Here is a 26015-nt window from a genome sequence, read left to right as displayed (position 1 = left end):
GTTGTTTGCTAAAACTCAGAATCAAATGTCTTTATTAATAATAGGAAAACTATACCAACAGAAACGAGGTTTTCAGAGAATAATAGAAATTTAGAAAGTTTGTCTTAGAAAAAGTGACTGCAGTTCATACCTCAATTATAATTACTGGTACATTTAGGAACTGAAGTTTAAAAGTGATGCATTTGTTTCAACGTTGTTTCCTTTTTCTGTGTACTTCCTATAGGTGATACTAAAGAGCAATGAAATAAGCAAAAGCTATGTTGTACCAAAAAAAAAAAAAAAAAGAATCTGTGTTTTGTATTAATCCCTGAGCTCAGTAGATCATTGCCTCTATCATCCCATTTTACCAATTGAGATGTGAACTATAGAGATTAAGTGAACTTTCTAGGGTCACAGAGTTCCAAATCGGCTGAGCAAATATATCAGTGGTTCTTGAGACATTCACTGTATTTTATGACTATCTTTTCTGTAAGCATATTGTAGTAAAAATATAAAATTTTGTTTAATAAAGCAACGAAGAGAATACATAAGCAGAAATTATTCCCAGTAAACTGGCCTGAATTTATGTGTTGTGAGTGATGAGTATGTTTCTACTACTATTGCAACTGTAGTCATGAATTATTTGCGAACAAGGGCCAAGAATACATAGTTTAGGTTATATTAAAATTGCAGTTAAGAAAATATTTTCCTCTGGGAGGCTGAGGTGGGTGGATCACAAGTTCGGGAAATCGAGACCATCCTGGCTAACACAGTGAAACCCCGTCTCTACTAAAAATACAAAAAATTAGCCGGGCGTGGTGGCGGTGCCTGTAGTCCCAGCTACCCGGGAGGCTGAGGCAGGAGAATGGCGTGAAGCTGGGAGGCGGAGCTTGCAGGGAGCCGAGATCATGCCACTGCACTCCAGCCTGGGCGACAGAGTGAGACTCTGTCTCTAAATAAATAAATAAATAAATAAGAGTGAAATCCAAACACAAGAAATCCATGCTAATCCACATCAAAATAAAAAGAAAACTAAGAACAAAAAAATCTTGAAAGCACCAAGAAATAAATGACACCTGAACTATCAGGGGAAAAAAAAATTTGAATGACAGTGGATTTCTCATCAGAAATCATAATGATCAGAAGGAAATGGTACAACAAATTCAAGTCCTGAAAGAAAAGAACTGTCAAACCCAAATTTTGTATGTGGCAACATTTTCCTTCAGAAATGAAAAGAAAATAAATGCATTTTCAGATTAATGAAAATTAAGAGAATTTGTCACAAGCCACATACATTAAAACAATGGCTAAAGAAACCCCTTAGAGAAGGAATCTTAAAACATCAAGAACAACAAATATAAGTAACTACAAAAGACGTTCCTTCTCCTCTTGTGTGTTCTACATTTAGTTTAGTAGTCAAAGCTAAAAGTACAATATTTTCCAATATGAATCTAAATGTATGTAGCAAAAACATTTAAGAGAACTATATTATAAATGGGTTGGGAAGATAGGTACAGAGACTTAAAAGAAGGCAAGTTTTCTATGTTTGACATAAATTGGTAAAATATTAACACCAACAAATCTTTGTGGTGGTGGAAGAATTCTGTATCTTGCTTCTAGCGGTTGTTACAGGAATGCATACATATGAAAAGATGGCATAGAACTATACACCACATTGTACCAATGTCAGTTTCCCAGTTTTGACATTGTACTATTGTTAATACAAGATGTAACCATTGGGAGAAAGTGAGTGAAGGGTACCCAAGAACTATCCATTTTCCAAATTATGAATCCACAACTATTTCAAAATAAAAAGTAAAAAATGTAAGCTTTTAAAAAATTCTTATTAAGTCACATTCTGAAACACCTTCTAACCTTAAAAAAATGGGAAAAAGCCCATAATAAAGAGTTGGTATAAAATTACAGAGCAAATTTCTTCAGTAATTGATTGTTTTGCTTTAGTTAGGTTTTTGATCATCATTTGTGACCTACTTGAATTGGGGAAATGCAACTCTGTTTTGATGCTGATGTTACTATCAATGTCTGCTTTTTTTTTTTTTTTTTTTGAGATGAAGTTTCACTTTTGCTGCCCAGGCTGGAGTGCAATGGTGCAATATCGACTCACTGCAACTTCCACCTCAGCGGCTCAAATGATTCTCTTGCCTCAGCCTCCCAAGTAGCTGGGATTACAGGCCCCTGCCACCACACCCAGCTAATTTTTTGTAGCTTTTTTATGTCTTCAATAATCACATTGTATAAAAGCTAATGAGTTATCTTGGCTAGGTCATAAAGATAACTGACAACTTTGTTAACAGTTCCTAAATAAAAATATTATTTATAATCTTCAGCTATCAGAGTATAGTGATAGACACCTTGGAAGTCTACAAGCATTTTTTTCTCTTTCAGAGAAGTGAAAAAACTAGCATAAGAGTCTCTGGATGTCTTAGTGGCACAACTAGATAGTGGCATCAAGCTATGAAACATCCAGGCCATATTACCAAACTTTTTAATCTACCGTGAAAATCCTTGTCCTTTTAATCTGTAGCAAACATTTTTCTGGAAACTCTAAAAGCCCATATCGCTCCTCTCAGAACTGACCCCACTTCCCCAGTACAACTCTATTTGGATTATATAATCTCCACTGGTCTCACTGGACTAGTTAATATGATTGTCTCTCCAGATAATTGAGAATTATGACCCATAGATTCAAACTGGGTAAACTTAAGGTTCTATGTTGCCAGTTGGCTACTGCTATTACTTTTGGATTTTATCAATGATGAGATATTCCAAACACACAGAAAACACCCATTTGCTCCCTTCCCTGAATGAACAGATATTAATACTCTGTCATAATTCTTTCAAATTTCTTTTTCCCTAAAAATTAAAAAAATTTTGATATAGACACAAAATTAAAGTAGTACTAGATATACCAATCACCAAGATAAAACAATAATCGATATTTTGTCGCGTTCACAGAACTAATTTATTTATTTATTTTTAAAATTATGGTAGAAAACACATTTTAACATAACATGTTTAACATAAAAATTAGCATCTTGACCATTTCTAAGTGTATAGTTCAATAGTGTTAACAATAGTCACATTGTTGTGCAATAGATCTCTAAAAGTTTTTCATTTTGCAAAACTGAAACTCTATACCCATCGAAAAACAACTCTCTATTTCCCCTTCCTCACAGCCCCTGACATCCACAATTCTGCTTTCTATGAGTTGGACCAATTTAGATGCCTTATACAGGTGGAATCATACAGTGTTGGTCTCTTTGCGACTGGGCTTATTTTACTTACCATAATGTCTTCAGGGTTCATCAATGTTATAGCACATGACAGAATTTCCTTCTCTTTTTAAGCTAAGTAATATTCCACTGTATGTATATACTCCATTCTCTGTATCCATTTATATGTCAGTGGACATTTGGGTTGCTTTCACCTCTTGGTATTGAGAATAATGCTGTAATGAACATGGATATGAAAATACGTCATCAAGAGTCTGTCTTCAATTCTTCTGGATATGTACCCAGAGTGGGATTTCTGGATCATATGGTAATCGCATTTTTAGTTTCCTGAGGAAACTCTATACTGTTTTTCTTACTGGCTGCATTGTCAATTCCCATTGACAGTGCACAAGAATTGCAATTTCTCCACATTCCAATACCACTTGCTATTTTCTGTTTTTATGACAGTGGCCATGTGTATTAGTCCATTCTCACACTGCTATAAAGAACTACCTGAGACTGGGTAATTGAAGAAAAGAGGTTTGACTCACAGTTCCCTAGGCTGTACAGAAGCATGTTTTGGAGGCCTCAGGAAATTTACAATTATGGCAGAATGCAAAGGGGAAGCAAGCACATTTTACCATGGTGCAGCAGGATAGAGACCGAGAGAAGGGGGAAGTGTGCCACACAACTTTAAACCATCAGATCTCATGAGAACACACTAACAGCAAGGGGGAAATCTGTCCCCATGAGCAATCATCTCCCACCAGGCCCCTCCTCTGACATGTGGAGATTACATTTTGACATGAGATTTGGGTGGGGACCCAGAGCCAAACCATATCACCATCTTAATGGGTGATATCTCATTATAGTTCTGATTTGCATTTCTCTAATGGTTAGTGACATTGAATATCTTGTCACTTGTTAGCCATTTATAACTCTTCGGAGAAATACCACTTTGAGGATTTTACCCATTTTTTTAACTAGGCTATTTGCTTGTTGTTAAATTATAGGCATTCTTTATATATTCTGAATCTAACTCCTTACCAGATATATGATTTGGAAATATTTTCTCCCATCTCGTAGGTTAATTTTTCACTCTAAGGATTGCTTCCTTTCATGTGCAAAAGGCTTTAAGTTTGATGTACTCTCATTTGTCTATTTTTGCTTTTATTGCCTGTGGTTTTGGTGTCATCTCCAAGAAAACATTGCCAAATCCACTGTTATAAAATTTTTCTCCTGTGTTCTTCTTATAGTTTTATATTTTAAGGTCTTATGCCTAGGTCTTTAATTCATTTTGAGTTTATTTTTGTATATTGTGTAAAGTAAGGATCCGACTTCATTCTTTTGCATGTGGATATCCAGTTTTCTCAACACCATTTATTGACAGGACTACCCTTTAAGCCCATTGTATGGTTTTGGCACTCTTGTCAAAGATTGATTGAGTGCGTGCACAAGGGTTTATCTGGGACCTCTATTCTATTCTATTGATCCATATGTCTGTCCTTATGTCAGTACCACACCGTTTAGATTACTGTAACTTGGGATCACTTAACCTATTTAAAACACGTTTTTTCTTTTTCTTATTTGAAGTATTTTTCAGCAAATATCAGATGGTATTATTTTACCCCTTCATAATTCAGTATAACTCTAAAAATTATGGCCCACTACAAAACCACAATATTATTATCACTCATAATGTTTCTTTGGCATAATCTCATACCTGGTCTTAATCAAATGTATGGATTTTCTCAAAAATGTGTTTTCTGGCTTACTTGAATTAAAATCTAAACAAGGTCCACATTTTAATATGTTTGTTTTTTAGGTCACTCGTAATTTAGAATAGTTCTTCCTCTGCTCCCTTTTCCTTCAGCCATTCACTTATAGAAATTAGTTTAGTTGTTCTATAGAATGCCTCCCATTCTGGATTTCTCTAATTCTTTATTATGTCTTTTAACACTAAATGGAAATTAGCTAGTGGCTTAACTCTGTGGTCATTTAACTATAAATTGAAATTAGCCTAGAACCATAATGTTTTTATGTCTGCAAGCAGTTTTTTAATCTTATCTGCAAATGGAAGATTCTGAGGACTTTTCCCAGTTTCACTGGGCATTCTCACATGTCTTACCATGTTTCCACCCAAGGAATATAGGATCTTCTTCTTTTAGTAGATGTTTGTAGAAAAATTTTTTACACCCCGAGTTTGTGGCATACATAGGTTGTCCCTATTCATTTTTCACTATTACTGTCACACAACTTCGTTCTTGTTCTTGTTCTTGTTATACTGCTGTAAGTGATTTACCATTCCTGTTCATAATCTGAAATTTATGAGAATTTATTGCCTTTGATTTTTATTTAAGATATTAACAGTGCATTTATTATTGGCTATCCTAATTGATTTGTTTGTTTTCCAGGAGGAATTTTGGGGAAATTAAAACCTGCCTTTCTGCCAGGATCACATCACTGGAAGCTCCATGACTCTCTTTTTGTAAAAGAAAAAAAAATCACAGAAACACCCACCTCCCAAACTATTCTCTTTTACTTCTTCCCCCAAGCCCACCCCCAAATATAACTGTTATCCAGAAGCTGTTATGTCCTGTTTCCATACATGTTTTTGTACTTTTACTATATCTACATACATCAATTAAACTTATGTCCTATTGTTTTGTGAATTTATATTTGCGTATACATTATCATATGTAAAATTTGCATTTTTTTATTGAAAATTATGTTTCTTGAGATTTATCCACATTGAAACATGGAGCTCTAAATCGTTAATTTTAACCGCTATAGAGTATTCCATAATTTGAATAAAGCATAATTTGTTTGTACAATCTCCCGCCAAGGGAAAATTATTTCCACACTCATCATGACAAGGAGCACTGCAAAAATAAAAATAAAAATTACATTCATACATGTTTGCCTGCACCCATCTGCCTGATTTTCTCTAAAATAAATATCTAGGAGTGAAAGTGCCAGGTCAAAGAGCATGTGCATCTTCTTATGCCCACATATATGAGAGTTTTCCCCAAGTATATCTACATCAACGTCTATGATGTTTTAATTTTCTACATCCTTCTCTGTATTCATTTGTTTTCATGCTGCTATGAAGAAATACCCAAAACTGGGTAGTTTATAAAGACAAGAAGATTAATTGGCTCACAGTTCTGCATGGCTGGGAAGGTTTCATAAAACTTACAATCATGGTGGAAGGGGAAGGAAACACGTCCTTCTGCACATGGTGGCAGGAGAGAGAAATGCCAAGCAAAAGGAGGAAAAGCCCCTTATAAAACCATCAGATCTTGTGAGAATGAACTCACCATCATGAGAAGATCATGAGTGTAACTGCCCCCATGATTAAATTACCTCCCACCAAGTCCTCCTATGATAAATAGGAATTATGGGAACTAAAATTAAAGGTGAGATTTGGGTGGGGACACAGAGCCAAACCATATCATTGTCAATGTGAAATAGTACTTTATTGTTACTCTATTATATATTTTATTGAATGAAATGTGAGGTTGAGAACTTTTACAAGCCCTATTAATCATTTTGTCTTCTTTTTCTTTTTCTGTGTATGGTCTGTTTATAACATTGATAATCTCTTGGGTTTTATGTCAATTTCTTAATGATTTGTGAGGGTTTAAAAAATATTCTAGATAATGATTCTTCTTGATATTTATTAAATACAATGTGTTCTCATAAAATCATCTATGAATTCTTCCTCCTATCCTCCTCTCCATTCCCTTTCCTCTGCCTTCGTCTCTATCTCTACATCTACCTCTACCTCTACCTCTAGCTCTATTTCTAGTTATAGCTCTAGCTCTATCCCTGTCCCTATCCCTAACCCTATCTCTACCTCTAGCTCCACCTCTACCTCTACCTCTATGTCTAGCTCTATCCCTACCTCCACCTCTAGTACTGATACCAGCTCTAGCTCTACTTCTGTCTCTACCTCTACTTCATCTCTATCTCTAGTTCTACCTCTAGTTCTACCTCTAGCTCTAGCTATACTTATATCTCCACCTCATCTCTATCTCTAGCTCTAGTTCTAGCTCTACCTCTACATCTAGCTCTAGCTCTATCTCTACCTATTTCTATCTCTATCTCGATCTCTATATCTATCTCGATCTCTATCTCTATTTCCATAACGCTTTCTCTCCCTACAGTTCAGATTTTGTTCTTGGAAACAGCCTGGGAAACAGGCAGTTTACTATACTTTCTATTTTCCCAAATCTCCATCTCTAACCACACCTCACCCCTGCTACCACCACACAGATTTCTTCGTGGAACATCCCTTGTTTGTGAAGCATTGACACTTATGCAAAAAGGTATTAAAAGTAAGTGTCTGGCAGGGCACGGTGGCTCACGCCTGTAATTCCAAGCACTTTGGGATATGGATCACAAGGTCAGGAGATCAAGACCATGCTGGCTAACACGGTGAAACCCTCTCTCTACTAAAAATACAAAAAATTAGCCAGGCGCGGTGGTAAGCACCTATAGTCCCAGCTGCTCGGGAGGCTGAGGCAGGAGAATCGCTTGAACCCAGGAGGCAGAGGTTGCAGTGAGCCGTGATCGCACAACTGCACTCCAGCCTGGATGACAGAGCAAGAGTCCAACTCAAAAAAAAAAAAATAGTAAAGGTTTCCTGCCTTTATGGACAACCTGTTTGTCAAATATGATCACATTCCATAAATTAGTTTTAAGTTCAACTGGGGTTTCCCTCCTTTCAGCATGCATATTATCTCTTCCCTTCCTCTGGACCTTTCCTATCCATGTCTTTACTAGGATTATTACATGTCTGGTGAGTGCTGTAAACAAAATGTTATGTGTGCAATTAATGCTAATTTGGATGATAGGAAACAGAAATATTAATTCTAATTACTTTTCAAACATAGCTCATGCAATAATAAGAGAATCTGATGTCACTGCAAGACGATTTGGTTGAGATGATAATGCTAATTTATTGAAATGGGTGGGTGTCATAATCAGTTTGAAAAAAAGAGAAACATTTCTAAGACATACCAGATCATATTAATACATCACCGCCACACACAAAATTGGTGTTAACATACAAATTCCTCTGGACGTTTAAGAAGCAATGCCTCCTTAAATATTGAGATCTAGTGAATGCACCTTTTCAAATTGTAATATATAGGTCAGAGGGTTTTTTGTTTGTTTTGTTTTCCTATCTTTCTATTTGGCTTTTCTCTTTACATAGACTAGAGAAATAAAGGCACATGCAAATGCATAGATTTATTTATTTAGATTTCAATTGAAATTTTTCATTATGTTTATTATTTGTAAACACAGGCATCTGCTTGGCTTCATGTGCAAAGCCCTGAATTCATTCTCTTCTTACTGAAGTTCTTGAAATGAAAGTAATACTTTAATATTTGATAATAATAGCCCAAGAAGGATGGTAACATCCAATTGTAAGTATTACATGTCGAAGAATAAATTTTTTACAGGAAAATGCATTATATTAAGAATCATAGAAGTTTTTACTCATAATAACAAATATGGAAGAAAAAATAGCTTGCGATAAACATACCCAGTCCATATTTGTATCCAACATATATTTTTTCTCTAAAGCAGAATTACAATATAAAAACAAAATTTAGATTCCAAATGGTATGTCATATTAGAGAGAAAAATAGTGCAAATGAACAGTTTAAAACTGTCCAAAAATATGAGTAATTTTATTTGAAAAATGACAAGCATTCTTCAGAGTTCTGGGCCACCCAATTATTTCAATAAGACAAATTGTCTTGGAGAATGGCTCATAAACTCTGAGCCATTCATTAGTTTATTTTTGTATCATCAGGGAGTTAGCTTGGGAAACTGGCAAAATCCTATCTGGCTTGAAAAGTAAATGCCCTTGGATTAGGGTTCTGTGCAACAAAAATTGCAAAAGGCTAATAATTTTACTTAAAAATTTTATGATTATTAATTTTCATTCTGTCAGCCTACATCACAATTAAAAGAAATAAATCATTTTGGCGGTTTGTGCCTGATTTTTCCCAAGTTTCTTTGTTTGTTTGCTTGTTTTAATATTAAGTATATTTCTATTAGCTGGCAACAGCTGTTATTTGGGTGCCTCAGCTGACTGCTCCCAGAATACCCACAGCTTCAGTGTGTACACTTTACTACAAATTCTTGATGTCTGGATTACTAAATAATTAAAACCATTCTTGCACATGTCCAATATAAGAGGGAGTAGATAAACTTCTTGCTTCATACCTTTTTCCAAAAGCTTTTATTTTCAAGTAAAATTGATTCTTATTTGCTTTTAATTTACCAGCCACAACCCTAATATCATTTAACTAGCTAGTTAATAAAGCCTTATAATTAAAGCTTCGTATTAAATCTTTGTATACACAATGATTTATTTGGGACTTAAATTTTGAATTCTTTCCTCCTTAAATTAATAAAATTTTGAGTTTCTGTTTTAATCTTCAAATATTTCAATTATTTGTTTTTTAAACAAACAAGCCTGAACTAAAGGAATGATTGAAATTCATAAATGCCATTTTTTCTCTTACATGATCATACTATTAAAACTATAAAGTTTACACATCAAAATAAGAAGATAACTAAAGACAAAATAAAAAATTGTGAAAGCACCAAGAAATAAATGACACCTTACCTATCAGGGGAAAAATCTTATGGACTCTCCATAAGAAAGAGTAGTAACTCCTCCAAGATCCCTGAAGGATAATAATCTGTGACACTACAGTAGATACTCAGACATAAAGTAGTTCCAAGAACAAAGACTATTGTCTGTCAAGAGCTGCTTATTTTCTTATTTTCATGACAGCCAGAAATACATTGAAAAGGTATATTTGTAATACATTAGCCACAGTCTAATTGTGCTACCACTGGAGAGCTGCTCAGTGTCTAGTTCATCACACAATAGGGGATGGAAGTTGAATTCATTCTTTTTGAAGGTTTGTATGGTCTGACTGTGTCCTCACCCAAATCTCCTCTCCAACTCCTACATGTTGTAGGAGGAACCCAGTGGGAGGCAATTGAATCATGGGGGCAAGTCTTTCCTATGCTGTTCTCATGATAGTAAGTCTCATGAGATCTGATGGTTTTAAAAACAAGAGTTCCCTGCACAAGCTCTCTTTGCCTGCTGCCATCCATGTAAAATGTGACTTGTTCCTCCTTACCTTCTGCCATGATTGTAAGGCTTCCCCAGCCACGTGGAACTGTAAGTCCAGTAAACCTCTTTATTTTGTAAATTGCCCAGTCTCGGGGATGTCTTTAACAGCAGCGTGAAAGCGGACAATACAAAGGTCTAATCAGAGTTGGATTTGTGTTGCTTTTGTTTGTAACACTCTGCTAAGACTGAACACAAGGAGGTCCAATTTTTTCCATGTCACTAGCTTTTTCACCTCTTTTCCACAGTAGCATAAATTCATGCTAGGAAGTTAACTGTGTGGGCATGAGAGCTTGTCTATACCATGATCTCCAAAAAACTGATTTTAATTCTTTTTACCTTTCCTACCAATATACTTGCCATTGCTTTCCTCTTCAAACCTCAACTATTTAGTCAGTGGATTCAGCTTTAATCTTGTCACCTTATATGTACACAGACATTTTTACATGTTTTACGTGAAACAAGATAGAGCATGAGTAAGTAAATAAGTGTGTGTGTATGATGCACATGTGTGTGCAGAAAAATGTAATCTCAATTTATTATTATTATCTAGTGCAATTAGAGAGATGGTCAAGCACAGGTAACAAAAGGGTTTAACAGAAAACTGATAACGTATGTCTTTAGGGAAGAAAGGATTACAAATTTCACGCTGGTCAAAATTGAAATTTCATAGAATAAACATCTGCAGTTTATGCTAAAATCTGCATGTAGGGTTAAAATATGATATTATTATAGGTAGATTTCAACCTTTGGTTGCAGCTGGCTGAGGGGGCTGCTGGCAACAGCTGTTATTTGGGTGCCCCAGCTGACTGCTCCCAGAATACCCATAGCAGTTACATGCTGGGAGGAGAAGGAGGCAGGTGCTATCAGATGACTCCTCAGGAATGTGCCCTAAAGGGAACACTATTTAGCATACAGGAGACTTGTCATGTGACTTTCTTTGGAGGGTGATTTTAAAGACTTGTCTGCAACTAATGATGTCTGTGATCTGTACAGAGGTCACCTTCAATAACTTCTCTTCCTGTAAACAGGAAAAGGAATGCTGAAAAATGGGTAAGAGAGGAAAACAACAGGGAGCCCCAGTCACTTCTGGACCTAGTAGCCAATGTGACACTGTTTGCTATCCCTGGAGCTGAGTTTTAGTAATCCTTAGATATTTTCAGTTTACTTTGTTTAGAAATTGAACTTCAACACAATGAACACTAGTGAGGTTGGATGTTGCAGCCAAAAAGCTTAGGATTTGAAGGAATCCTATGAATCCATCTTCACTACTTCACAGCTTTGTGACACTGGTTTCATCATATAACTTACCTACATGTTATTATCCCAGTTTGTAAAATGGTGATTATAATAACTGCCTCAATACATTAATATAAAGATGAAATGAGGAAACATGTAAGGTGCCTGGCATATATTAGATGCTCAATATTTATGGTTCCTTTTTCATCATGTTGTAGGCTAATTGAACCCAATCTTTCAACCCTCAGAGACTGAGTTGGGTATTAGAAGACATTCACATGTTTATGCTAGGAATCAATTCACTCCATCCACATTGGCCATCCTTGTTGCTCCTTAAACATGGTAGGCATTCTTCTACCTTAGGGCAATGGATCTGGCTATTCCCTCCTCTGGACCTTCTCCCAAGTATGCATACAAACTGACTCACTTCCTTCAACTCTTCACTTAAATGTATTCTTCTCATCAAGGTTTACCCTGACAACCCCACTTAATACTGTAAACTGTACATGGCCCTCTTCACTGCTCCCTCAGTGCCATACTCCTGAGTCCCCTTACCATGCTCCTTTGTTTTTTTTTTTTTAAATACATTTATTGCCTTCTAGCACTTAGTAAAATTTTAAAATTATATTTACTGTTTATTCTTTGTTTTTCCCCAGTAGACTGTTGTATTAGTCCATTTTCATGCTGCTGATAAAGACATACCCAAGGCTGGGAAGAAAAAGAGGTTCAATTGGATATACAGTTCCACATGGCTGGGGAGGCCTCAGAATCATGGCAGGAGGTGAAAGGCACTTATTACATGTAGGTGGCGAGAAAAAGATGAGAAGGATGCAAAAGCAGAAACCCCTGATAAAACCGTCAGATCCTGTGAGACCTACTCACTGCCATGAGAACAGTATGAGGGAAAACACCCCCAAAATTCAAATGATCTCTCACCGGGTACCTACCACAAAACATGGGAATTATGCAAGTAAAATTCAAGATGAGATTTGGGTGGGGACAGAGAGCGAAACAATATCATTCTCTCCCTGGCCCCTCCAAATCTTATGTCCTCAAGTTTCAAAACCAATCATGCCTTCCCAACAGTCCGCCAAACTCTTAACTCATTTCAGCATTAACCCAAAAGTCCACAGTCCAAAGTCTCATCTGAGACAAGGCAAGTCCCTTCCGCCTACAAGCCTGTAAAATCAAAAACAAGCTAGTTACTTCCTAGATACAATAGAGGTACAGGTATTGGGTAAATACAGTCATTCTAAATGGGAGAAATTGGCCAAAACAAAGGTGTTACAGGGCCCATGCAAGTCCAAAATCCAGTGGGGCAGTCAAATTCTAAAGCTCCAAAATGATCTCCTTTGACTCCATGTCTCACATCTAGGTCATGCTGATGCAAGAAGTAGATTCTTATAGTCTTGGCCAGCTCTGCCTCAGTGGCTTTGCAGGGTATAGACCCTCTTCTGGCTTTTTTCACGGGCAGCTGGAGTTGAGTGTCTGTGGTTTTTCCAGGCACACAGTGCAAGCTGTCATTGGATCTACCATTCTGGGGTCTGGAGGACAGTGGCCCTCTTCTCACAGCCTCACTAGGCAGTGCCCCAGTAGGGACTCTGTGTGGGGGCTCTGACACCACATTTCCCTTCTGCCCTGCCCTAGCAGAAGTTCTCCATGAGGGCCCCACCCCTGCAGCAAACTTTTGCCTGGGCATCCAGGCATTTCCATATATCTTCTGAAATCTAGGTGGACGTTCCCAAACCTCAGTTCTTGACTTCTGTGCACCTGCAGGCTCAACATCAGATGGAAGCTGCCAAGGTTTGGGGGCTCGCACCCTCTGAAACCATGGGCCAAGCTATACCCTGGCCCCTTTTAGCAATGGCTAGAGTGTCTTGGATGCAGGGCACCAAGTCCCTAGGCTGCACACAGCACAGGGACCCTGGGCTTGGCTCACAAAACCATTTTTACCTCCCAGGCTTCTGGATCTGTGATGGGAGGGGCTGCTGTGAAGACCTATGACATGCCCTGGAGATATTTTCCACATTGTCATAGGGATTAACATTCAGCTCCTTGTTACTTATGTAAATTTCTGCAGACAGGTTTAATTTCTCCTCAAAGAAATGGGTTTTTCTTTTCTACTGTATCATCAGACTGCAAATTTTCTGAAGTTTTATGCTCTGTTTCCTTTTAAAGTGGAAAGCTTTTAACAGCACCCAGGTCACTTCCTAAATTCTTTGCTGCTTAGAAATTTCTTCCAACAGATACCTTAAATCATCTCTCTCTAGTTCAAAGTTCCACTGATCTCTAAGGCAGGGGCAAAATGCTGCCAGTCTCTTTGCTAAAACATAACAAGAGTCATCTTTGCTCCAGTTCCCAACAAGTTCCTCATCTCCATCTGAGATCACCTCAGCCTAGACCTTATCATTCATATCACTATCAGCATTTTTGTCAAAGTCATTCAACAAGTCTCTAGGAAGTTCCAAACTTTCCCACTTTTTCCTGTCTTCTTCTGAGCCCTCCAAATTGTTTCAACCTCTGCCTGATACCCAGTTCCAAAGTTGCTTCCACATTTTTGGGTATCTTTTCAGCAATGCCCCATTCTACTGGTACCAATTTACTGTATTAGTCTGTTTTCATGCTGCTGATGAAGACATATGCAAGACTAGGAAGAAAAAGAGGTTCAATTGGACTTGTAGTTCCACATGTCTGGGGAGGCCTCAGAATCATAGCAGGATGTGAAAGGCACTTCTTACATGGCAGCAGCAAGAAAAAAATTAGGAGGATACAAAAGCAGAAACCTCTGATAAAACCATCAGATCTCGCGAGATTTATTCACTAACATGAGAACAGTGTGGGGGAAACAACCCCCATGACTCAAATTATCTACCACTGGGTCCTTCCCACAACACATGGGAATTATGGGAGTACAATTCAAGATGAGATTTAGGTGGTGACACAGAGCCAAACCGTATCAACTGTATACTCCATAAGGGTTTAAAATCTTTATTCACTTCACTGATGTATATCATGCACCTGTTTCCTTGTAGATAGGGCAGAATAAATATTTTTTCATGAATGAATGCACTGAGGCACTTCAGAATACATCAATCTACAGTGTTTAGGAATTGACTATGACCTGAATTAATATGCTTTGTTCACCTCACATCCCCAGATCCTGGAGTGTAGTAAGTACGACATGTATAGTAGAATGAATAAAAAATAATGGATTCAGGCACAACACAGCTTCCTATGAGGCTAGGGAATTACCCAGACTCAGGCAAAATTCATTACTATCATTCTCCTCTTTATGAACCTGACAACCAAACATAATGGCTTAGGAATTTTTTCTGTTAAATATATTTGATTGATATTATATACCCAGAAGGTCAAGATAATGTGGAAAATATTATCTACTGCCCTTGAGTCAAGGACTCTGATGTATATCGTGGTGAATATTTATGCTTACTATGTCATTTCAAGTTTGAATGTTGACATTTAAATTAAAATAATGTCCCTCATTTTTGTAACACAAGAGCAATAGAAAGGTCAGTTGTACCTTACCAGTGGATAGTACTACATTGCTCCCGTGTCATTTTGAGCTTTGCTGAGCAGGAGACTGGCTTCTAATCTCATGGAGTGATCCTATGTACATCACCCAGTTGAAGAAACACAACTGATTAGGCCTTTCCTAAAAAGCTATTCTTTGTTCTTGAAAGTTTCTGCTCTACATAGTAGCAAGATGGCATTATCTAGTACAACCTTAAGAAAACACACCCTCTCAACACTCAAGATGAAAATGCTCAGAGGATTTGTATAGAGTCAAATCCAAAGTGAAAAATTACTTTATAGTTGTGTTATTGGGAGGAGTGGTGGCAATAAGACATAAAATAAGGAGGGGTAAATGTTATGAAAACAAGATAGAAAGTTTATGGTAATCATAGTAAATTTCTGTCAAGAGAGCTGCAATTCAGATATGCTCCATTCTCACTTGACCTTTATTTACCTCTACTCCCAGTCATTAAAATGATGGTCTTTCTCCTGAGATAGTTCTATAATGGATACTTTGGGACATATTAATCTGATTTCACACAATTGCTGTGCTCAGTCATCTGTACTCAATGTGTCATATATGCCTGAACAACCAGACATCATACAAAGGCTTTATGTGATGCTAGTATGTGATCTTGCCTTATAACAACGCATTTATCACTTAAATGTGCCTTTGTCTTTTCTCCTGGAATTAAGACAGCTAAAGATTTCACAAGTTGCACCTAAGAATGATACCCCAGGAAAGCACTGGACCTGTTTATATTCCACCTCATCAAGAACACAGTCATTCACTTATTTGATCACACAGGGTAAAGGAGATATGCAACACTTTTCTGAAACCATGTGAAGAGAGGAGAATAAATCAAGCATTCTGGTAAACAATTCATGCCATCAAAAACATGTTTTAATGTGTGCAACTGTCTTTAAGTGCTCCAAACCCAGACATCTTACTTTACAGTCAGAGCTCCCAAGTGGCAAACAAAAGCACCAACTTGCTCATGATTCATTCTAATCTTTTTACATAAAACTGGAACTAGGAACCATAGTCAAGGAATAAGAAAGCTGATCCAGAATCTACCACTATAAATTATTCAGCTAAAAAAATTACATAAATGCATGCAGAAGTCAGGAAGAAGAAATCAAAACATAAGATCATAATCCCAGTAGTATGCTGTTAAAACATGAATGAACAAAGATTGTTGGTTCTATGTAGAGATACTGTATTGAATGGAAGACGTGAAAAGCTGTCGGCTCCCAAGACTCTGATGACATAAGTATCAAAGAATGAGAAATGGACTGGATGATTAGTGCTAAAAGGAACTTTTAAGGACATCTAATGCAAACCCAGTAATTTTACAGAGGCTTTAAATAGATTTGGAGAAGTTGAATAATGTGCTCTCAATCCATAATTAGTTGATACTGGTGAATATACCAGAAAAACAGAACAAACCATCTTTGCCATTAAAGTGTATCTGTCTTATTAGGTTTAACTAATATAGTCAGACATCAGGTCATGTGATACCAAATGCTTGAACTGGTCAGGTGTTGCACTTTTTGTTCCCAGAATTGATAGATGGTTGTTATTCCATTCTGCCATTGCCTTTGTTTGTTATCATAGTAATTATAATGCCCTATTTACTTCAGCTAGAGGATTAATGTTTCCGGATATCTTTTCTTCTGCCTAGACATAGATTATTTGTATAAATACTCTATAAAATGGAGTTCCCAGGTTTTGTTCCTATTCAGTTATTCTACTTTCTATCTTGCAATTAACTACAAAGAGGTGAATACATAGCACTGAGAATGAGGCAAACCAAGGGCCTGCCATCAGGTGATTTTAAACATTGAACATTGGCACAGCAATTAAACTCAACCAACTGTAGAGTTAATAAAAATACAGATCCAGATTGCTAGTCAACTATTTCAGATGCATGGTTCTGGTTACACAGTGAAAACTTAGGAGCCTTAAGGACACTATAGAGGTTGCTGCAGCCAGTTTAGTCAACGCCTTACAAACCATTACAGCTGAAAGTGCTGAGAATGATCTAGTAGACAATTCTCACTCAAGGTCAGAAAGATAACTGATGGCTGGACCAGAATGGATACCAAGAATTTCTCACACGAGACCAGGAATCTCTCCAAACAACTCTTACCTTGAGGATAATGTAACTTCGAAAGAAATTTGTACATATTTTTCTTAGTTCTGTGGAATATTTAAATGGTCCCACATAATTTCAAATAAATTCTGGTTGAAGTTTCGTGGATCTTGGTTTTTTTCAATCTACAAGTTATTTACAAGTTTTAAAACTACTGAGTTAGGTTTTCTTTTCTTTGTTTATTTAAGAAAAGGGAGGACAAATAGCCCGAAACTTCAAGCTGTTCATGCTGAGGAATTGGACATTATATATTAAGGACACAAGAGGTATGAGAATTCCTCAGCTACAGTCGGCAGCAAATGTGTTCGACAAGCTGAAAGGTTTAGCACTAAGTACAAGGCAAGAGAGATAGAAGATAAGGAAGGAAAGCTAAGGAAATAAATTTTTCTTACAAAACTCCTCTAAAGTATTCTTTTTATAACAGGTCTTGCCAGAACTTAGATAAGCCAGAATGACTACGTTATTCTTCCAGAAAACTGTTTATGAATCAGTCTGCTATTTTCTACCCAAAAAAAAAAAAAAAAAAAAAAAATCACAGTACTTCAGCACTGAGGGGATTAGTGGCTGAGCAATCTCCTTCAGAGTGCTGCTCACTTAATTTGTTAAAGGACAAAGTAGTTGAATCATCTTACTTGCTGAATCTACAGGAAAAATACTGTCACTTCTTTATTGTTGTCATTTTCCAGTGTTTATTATGTCATAAAATGTTAGGCTTTGAAGTCCCAATCTGACTGTTTAGAGCAGGGATCTCCTGCCAACTGCATTATGTCATCAAATGAGCAAACATAATAAACATAATTAACATAGCAAGCATTTTTCAAGTCACTGGAATTTAAAAGTTGTTTGTTATAGCTACTGGTGTTACTTACCCTGACTTATGCACAAAGGAAAATAGTTTCATTTCAAATAGGTAGTTTTTTCCCAAATAGCTATACATATTTTTTACCAATATTTTATTCTCCTCTTCTGTATACCTAGAGGATGTGATTATTGTCTTCCATGAAACTGAATAAAGTATTGTGACTAGATCTAGCCAATAAATTGTAAATGAAAATTATTAGGTTGGTGCAAAAGTAATTGTGGTTTTTTTCCATTACTTTTAATATGTGTGGCTGTGATTGTGGATATCGTGTGTTCAATTATCCAGGCTTTCTTTTGGTGATCGAGACAGTTTCATGTTCTAAATGTTGCAGCTACCACATAGTAAAGCCCCTGTTGGCCTGGGTTTCTGAGTGACTCTAGAGTTGAGTCCCATGTCAACCAAAAATAGTTACACAATTTGAGTAGAAAATAAGGTTATATTGTGTTAAGCTGCTGAGATTTTCAGTTGGTTATCATAGTACAACTTACCCTACACAATATATATGACTCATGGGATAAAAAATATATATGTATATATTTGCATATGTGTGTATATTTGTATATAAGCATCTATGTGTATGTGTATATATGTACATATATGTATATGCATGTGTATATGCATACATAGTACATATATACACACATAAGTTTATCTATGTGTATGTACATAGACACATAAATACATATAAAAGTTTATTAGTCAGAATATGCATGTATATACATGTGCATACATGCACATGTATATATAATATGGTTACTAAATTGTTGCATAAAGAATTCTGATAATATATTAGTGCTTTATTTTACAGAAACGTTTCTTAATTATGTCTTTAAAAGAAAACAGTTTTCAACAATTTAGGTTACCTTTTATAACATTATACCAAAACGCAAGCAAACCATAGCCTAGATGGCAATCTCTGCTAAAGGTTCTGCAGGTGCTAATTATACCCCTTGATCTTTTTACATTTTAACTAGTATGAAAATAAATACGAAAAATATGTGGAATTGTGAGTCTCAAAATATTAGCTTTTCACCCTAAACCTCTGTACTACCTAATATGAACTGACTCATCCTTCTACTTACAGGGAGAGCCGCTGGAGGACTGTGGGCTTCCCTTTGCAGAGCTAAAAATGCTCTTCTCTAGTGAGTTTACTGCACAGAGGAGTAAGCAGAGGAAAGCAGGCACTGCTTTAGGACATGTTGGAGAGGGAGCAAGAGTCTGCTGTCTTGCACCACAATGATACTCACCTCATCTCATCCTTAGGAGAAGTAGAAAACAGGGCAATTGGGAAGACAGACTCCTGGGGTTCTTCCAACATTGTTTCCTCTTGGAAAGACTCAGAAATTCTTTTTTAGCTATGAAATTTTAAGAAGTTGATTAATATGCTTTCTCTTCCACCCGCAACAACCTTGTATGAGTCTTCCACATCTTTGCCATTATTACCATTCAACATTAAATGCTGTGTCCTCTGACTGAAGAGACATGATGACTAGGTGTATGTGGTGTTCTCAATTGGATACTGAAACAGAAAAAGAACACGAGTAGAAAAACAGACAAAATTTTAACAAAGTCCGAAGCTTAGTTGATAGGAATGTACTGATGTTAATTTCTTAGTTTTGATAAATATACCATGCTTATATAAAATGTTAACATTTGGGGACACTGGATGAAGGGTATGTAAAAACTCTGTACTACTTTTGCAACTCTTCTGTAAATCTAAAATTATTTCAAAACAAAAGTTTAAAAGAAAAATATTTTGTTTTACAGGATGGGGAGCACAATCATTAGAAATTTATCTTGTGAGTAGAAAATTCATGGCAAAGCCTGCCTAAAGGCAAAGTGAATTAGGTGGGATGAACCTAAAGAGATATTTTGGGGCTCCTCTTTTAATATTCTAATTTAAGCATAATAATAATACGCTTCTTGTAATGCTCTGTGACTTTGAATAGAATGGGAGGCAGGTTTGCCCTAAGCAATATCCAGCTCGAGTTTTCCTTAGTGATTTTGGAGGTCCAAGATATTTTCCTTTCACAGGTCAATGAATAAGAAAAGGAGCAAATACATTAAAAAGCTGACCTACCGTATGCGGCTGACTTCTCATAATTTTGTGAATCCTAAAAGGTATTCTTTCTTACTTTGTTCTCAGCTTCCTTTCATCTGAGAAAGTTCTTAAATACCTAGTATCCAAGAATCTTATCTACCCTTCTCAACTCCTAGATGAAGGGGGGATCTTAAAAGTTTCTTCCTCACCATTCCTTGAAGGGGGTTCTATAGACATATGGAGTTACCCTGGCTGGATGAAGCCACCCTGCAATTAACCTCAGTGTTCATGTAATAGATATGAGTTTGTCACTTAATTTCAACAGCAAACAACCTCGTAAAAGTCAACACAGAAGGGAAAAAAATGGTTACTAGCTTTGGAATTAGAAACAACTAGATTTAAATAGCAGATGTGTCACTTTCTAGCCAGCTTCTATTAAGCCAAAAAATTTATCAGATTCTGAGTCAGTTTGTTTGTCTGTAAGACTGTAATAGCCTACCTACAAGGTTGTTGTGAGATTTAAATGACACAGCATATGTAAAATAGTTCCTGGGATTAAGTAGTGTATCTCAATATATTGGTTCTACATTCTCTGAAAAAAGCAGCGTTTGATTGTAGGATAGCTTGAAAGTGTGACCGTCAAGTTGGAGGGAGGGGCCGGGCGCGGTGGCTCACGCCTGTAATCCCAGCACTTTGGGAGGCCGAGGAGGGCGGATCACGAGGTCAGGAGATCGAGATCATCCTGGCTAACACGGTGAAACCCCGTCTCTACCAAAAATACAAAAAATTAGCCGGGCGCGGTGGTGGGCGCCTGTAGACCCAGCTACTCGGGAGGCTGAGGCAGGAGAATGGCACGAACCCGGGAGGCGGGAGCTTGCCGTGAGCCGAGATCAGGCCACTACACCCCAGCCTGGGCGACAGAGCAAGACTCTGTCTCAAAAAAAAAAAAAAAAAAAATTTGGAGGGAGGAAGAAAATGTCAGTGCAAGAAGTCTAGGCATACAACTGCGTGGTGGTTTTACCGAAAGATATGTACAGTACTTCACAATTATATAAATGTTGGATTATGGTCACAGGTATAGCTTAAGCACCTTTCAATCTATTTTCACCCTCATGCCACTGCTCATGGCATCATAGAAAGGTGTACAAGATGCATGCCCTGGCAGTATCAAGAGTCATTGAAAGACACAACTCAGCTGCCTCTAAATGGCAACTTCTTTTTATGTTAATTGTATAATAAAGACTATTTAGTCAAAATGAGTTTATCAGTTGTTACTTTAAGACTTTCAGTACTCCCATTTGGAACAGAACAAATTTTAAAATAAGATTGATACAAAATGGTGTTCATTTGCATGAATAGAAGGTTTTTGCCCAACCAGATCAAAGCACATTAGTGGATTTTGAGCTCAAATTTCAAGCAATTTGCAACTGTATACCTGACAATTCACAGATTAGAAATAATTTTATGAACATTGATCATAGTGGAAATAGCTGTAATACAAACAAGAGCTCTTAGCAAAAGGTTTCAAGGCCTTATAAAACCAACTAATCATGTAATGATTTTTTGTTCTGTTTAATTACAAGTCATAATGCAATGTAATTAAACCCAGTGGCAGGAGGATAACAGTACCAAGATGCAGACAATTAAGTTAACTACAACATATGTAAGATATATTTATGTACCCGATAAATCTTCTGACAGGAAGGATCTAGATCTACCTTAATTAAAATAAGCATTTTTCTTGCATTTGCACATAATAAAAAGATACACAGTTTCCATATTCCAAGCAGTAGGATAAACAGTCAATGACTGATGTTTAAGAAACATGTTTAAAAACCTGAATTTAAGAGTCTAAGAATGATTTCTTCTAATTCAGGTGTTTAGAGAAACCCTGGGTGAAGGGGAAAAAAGTAATATTGTTTGGTAAACATAAGTGTCTCTTTTAAAAAATTGATTTGCAGTTTATTACACATTCTGGGTAATAATTATTTGTTATATATATATTGCAAATATCTACTCCCAGACCTGTAACTGTTTTTTTACCTTTATCTTATCTTTTGAAATACAGATTTTTACATTTTAATTTTGACATATTTATCAATCTTTCTTACATGGCCTGTGCTTTTGTGCCTTATTTAAAAATACCTTTCCAACCATATAGTAGCATATATTCTCCCACATTTTCTACTAATAATTTTTTTGTAGTTAAGTTTTTTATTTCTCTGATGTTAATTTTTGTGTTTTGGGTGAAATTAGGGCCAATTTCACTGTTTTAATGGAAATCCATTAATTCCAACACCATTTTCTTACTTTCTTATTTTGTTCAACTGAGACAAGCTAGTTATTTTTTTTTCACCAGCACCATTTTTTTTTACTGTTTTATAACATCATTTCTGTCAAATCTTTATATATTTATGTACGTATTATGGGATTCTCTACTCCATTACATATCTCTATTCCTATACTAATATATAACTATTTTAACTTTTATAACATTGTAATAAATCTTGGTATCTAGCAGCCCAGCCCTCACTCAAATGAGTCTTGACTTTTCTTACTCATTCAGTCGTCCATATTAATTTTAGAATTCTCTTCTCATGTTCCATGAAAAATAATTGCCTTTTTTATGATATTGAGTCTTCCATATACATGGCATAAATCTCCATTTATTCATATTTTTATATGACCTTTAATAATATTTTTTAATTGCCCCCACAAAATTCATGCAATTGTTATATTGATCAATTCCAATGAAATTCATAATTTTGGACACTTTTTAGTAGGATATTTTTTCTCGTATGTTTTCTAATTGGTCGAAGAGCAGGAGTAGGCATCCTTGTTTTTGACTTCAATGAGAATTTTTCTAAATAGTAACAAATATTAAAAAATGTTTAACCAGTAGACTGCAAGCTCCATGACAACAAGGTCTTGATTCTTTTTATTGCTATATCACAATGCTTAAGACAAGTATCTGATAAATGTGGATATAAAATAAATATTTATAATCTGAATAAATAAAGATATGATGCAGGTTTTTTTGGTAGAAATCTTTTAACTTTGTAATCAAGTTTTCTTCTTTTGCCAGTTGTGTTTTAAAAATCATGAACTACTGTTGAATTTTGTAATTTATTCTTTATATACTGATATAATTGTATGAGTTTTTGTCCAATAATTGCTATTGTTTTGAACTGGTGACTTCCCTAATATATAACTATCTTTACTAGTGATAAGGTATTACATTTTTGTATATTGTAGAATTTGTTTTGCTGATATTTTAATATATTTCCATCTCTTTCAAAAGTGATATTGCTCTATGCTTTTGTTGAGTCTGATTATGTGTCTTTTCTAGACAATATGTAGTAAGACCATGTTTTATTAATTCATTTTGCCAACTTCTGCTTTTGACTAGAGTGTTTAATTCCTTTACATTTAATATAATTACTGATAAGGTAGGATTTATATCTGCCATTTTACTTTTTTTCTATATATCTTATACCTTTCTTGTTCTTCTAATCTTCTGTTCTGCCCTTCTTTTGTGTTAAATAGATATTTTCCACTTTACCTGTATTAGTCCGTTTTCACACTGCTGATAAAGACATACTCAAGACTGGGCAATTTACAAAAGAAAGAGGTTTAATTGGGCTTTCAGTTATACGTGGCTGGGGAAGGTTCACAATCATGGCATAAGGCAAGGAGGAGCAAGTCACATCTTACATGGATGGCAGCAAGCAAAGAGAGGTGTGCAGGAAAACTCCCCCTTTTAATAACCATCAGATCTCATGAGACTTATTCACTATCACAAGAACAGCATGAGAAAGACCTGCCCCCATGATTCAATTACCTCCCACCAGGTACCTCCTACAACATATGGGAATTAAAGATGAGATTTGGGTGGGGACACAGAGCCAAACCATATCATTTGGCCCTGGCCCCTCTCAAATCTCATGTCCTCTCAAAACCAATCATGCCTTCCCAACAGTCCCCCAAAGTCTTAACTCATTTCAGAATTAACTCAAAAGTCCACAGTCCAAAGTCTCATCTGAGACAAGGCAAGTCCCTTCCATCTATGAGCCTGTAAAATCAAAAGCAAGTTAGTTACTTCCTAGATACAATGCGGGTACAGGCATTGGATAAATACAGCTATTGCAAATGGGAGATATTGGCCAAAAAAAGGGGGCTACAGGTACCATGCAAGTCCAAAATCCAGCAGGGCAGTCAAATCTTAAAGCTCCTAAATGATTTCCTTTGACTCCATGCCTTACATCCAGATCACACTGATGCAAGAGGTGGGTTCCCATGGTCTTGGGCAGCTCTGCCCTGTGGCTTTGCTGGGTATACCTCCACTCCTGGCTGCTTTCATGGGCTGACATTGAGTGTCTGTGGCTTTTCTAGGTGCATGGTGCAAGCCGTCAGTGGACCTACCATTCTAGGGTCTGGAGGATGGTGGTCCTCTTCTCACAGCTCCATTAGGCAGTGCCCCAGTAGGGACTCTGTGTGGGGGCTCCAACCCCACATTACCCTTTTGCACTGTCCTAGCAGAGATCCATGAGGGCCGTGCCCCAGCAGCAAACTTTGTCTGGGCATCAAGGCATTTCCATACATCTGATATCTAGGTTCCCAAACCTCAATTCTTGACTTCTGTGCACCTGCAGGCTCAATGTCACATGTAAGCATCCAAAACTAAGGGTGTCTACCCTCTGAAGCAATAGTCCAAGCTGTACCTTGCCCCCTTTTAATCATGGCTGGAGTGGCTGGGACCCAGGGCACCAAGTTCCTAGACTGCACACAGCACAGGGACCTTGGGCGCACGAAATCATTTTCTCTTAGGTCACCACACTCATGCCTGTGCTTTGAAGGGGCTGCTGTGAAAACCTCTGACATGCCCTGGATACATTTTCCCATTGTCTTGGGGATTAACATTTGGCTCCTTATTACTTATGCAAATTTCTGCAAGCAGCTTGAATTTCTCCTCAGAAAATGGATTTCCCCATTGTCTTGGTGATTAACATTTGGCTCCTTATTACTTATGCAAATTTCTGCAAGCAGCTTGAATTTCTCCTCAGAAAATGCATTTTCCTTTCTATTACATTGTCAGGCTGCAAATTTTCTGAACTTTTATGCTCTGCTTCCCTTATAAAACTGAATGCCTTTAACAGTACCCAAGTCACCTTTAGAATGCTTTGCTGCTTAGAAATTTCTTCCATCAGATACCCTAAACCATCTCTCAAGTTCAAAGTTCCCCAAATCTCTAAGGCAGGGGCAAAATGCTGCCAGTCTCTTTGCTAAAACATAACAAGGGTCACCTTTGCTCCAGTTCCCAACAAGTCACTCATCTTCATCTGAGACCACTTCAGCCTGGACTTTATTGTCCATATGGCTATCAGGCTTTTAGTCAAAGCCATTCAATAAGTTTCTAAGGAGTTCCAAACTTTCCCATATTTTCCTGCGTTTTTCTGAACCCTCCAAACTGTTCCAACTTCTGCCTGTTACCCAGTTCCAAAGTTGCTTCCACATTTTCAGGTGTCTTTTCACCAGCTTCCCACACTACTGGTAGCAATTTTCTGTATTAGTCTGTTTTTATGCTGCTGATAAAGACATACCCAAGACTGGGCAACTTACAAAAGAAAGAGGTTTAATTGGATTTATGTTCCACATGGCTGGGGAAGCCTCAGAATCATGGTGGAAGGCAAGGAGGAGGAAGTTATGTCTTACGTGGATGGCAGCAAGCAAAGAGAACTTGTGCAGGAAAACTCCCTCTTATAATAACCATCAGATCTCTTGAGACTTACTCACTTTTATGAGAACA

The 26015-nt window shown here is 36.8% G+C and overlaps 1 protein-coding gene and 1 long non-coding RNA gene across 10 annotated transcripts in view; one reads left to right on the top strand and one right to left on the bottom strand.

The window, feature by feature from the left end:
* Nucleotides 1-6128, top strand: part of PTGER3 (prostaglandin E receptor 3) — a 195459-nt gene extending 189331 nt beyond the window's left edge. For all 8 annotated transcript variants that reach the window (NR_028293.2, XR_946714.3, NR_028294.2 and 5 more), the window contains one exon: nucleotides 5627-6128. Coding sequence is in view for 3 of the 8 variants with exons in the window: in XM_011541810.4 (XP_011540112.1) it covers nucleotides 5627-5690 (64 nt within the window). In the remaining 5 variants the exon portion in view is untranslated. The remainder of the gene's footprint in view (nucleotides 1-5626) is intronic.
* LOC102724572 (uncharacterized) overlaps nucleotides 3172-26015 on the bottom strand; it is a 42841-nt gene continuing 19997 nt past the window's right edge. For both annotated transcript variants that reach the window (XR_426711.4, XR_001737665.2), the window contains 3 exons: nucleotides 19612-19687; nucleotides 19416-19523; nucleotides 3172-3448 (listed from right to left, as the gene is read on the bottom strand). This is a non-coding gene — a long non-coding RNA (uncharacterized LOC102724572). The remainder of the gene's footprint in view (nucleotides 3449-19415; nucleotides 19524-19611; nucleotides 19688-26015) is intronic.

Source organism: Homo sapiens, chromosome 1, assembly GCF_000001405.40.
Source record: "Homo sapiens chromosome 1, GRCh38.p14 Primary Assembly".
Classification (NCBI taxonomy): domain Eukaryota; kingdom Metazoa; phylum Chordata; class Mammalia; order Primates; family Hominidae; genus Homo; species Homo sapiens.
Note: the sequence above shows the minus strand (reverse complement) of the source record. Positions and strands in the feature narration are given on the sequence as shown.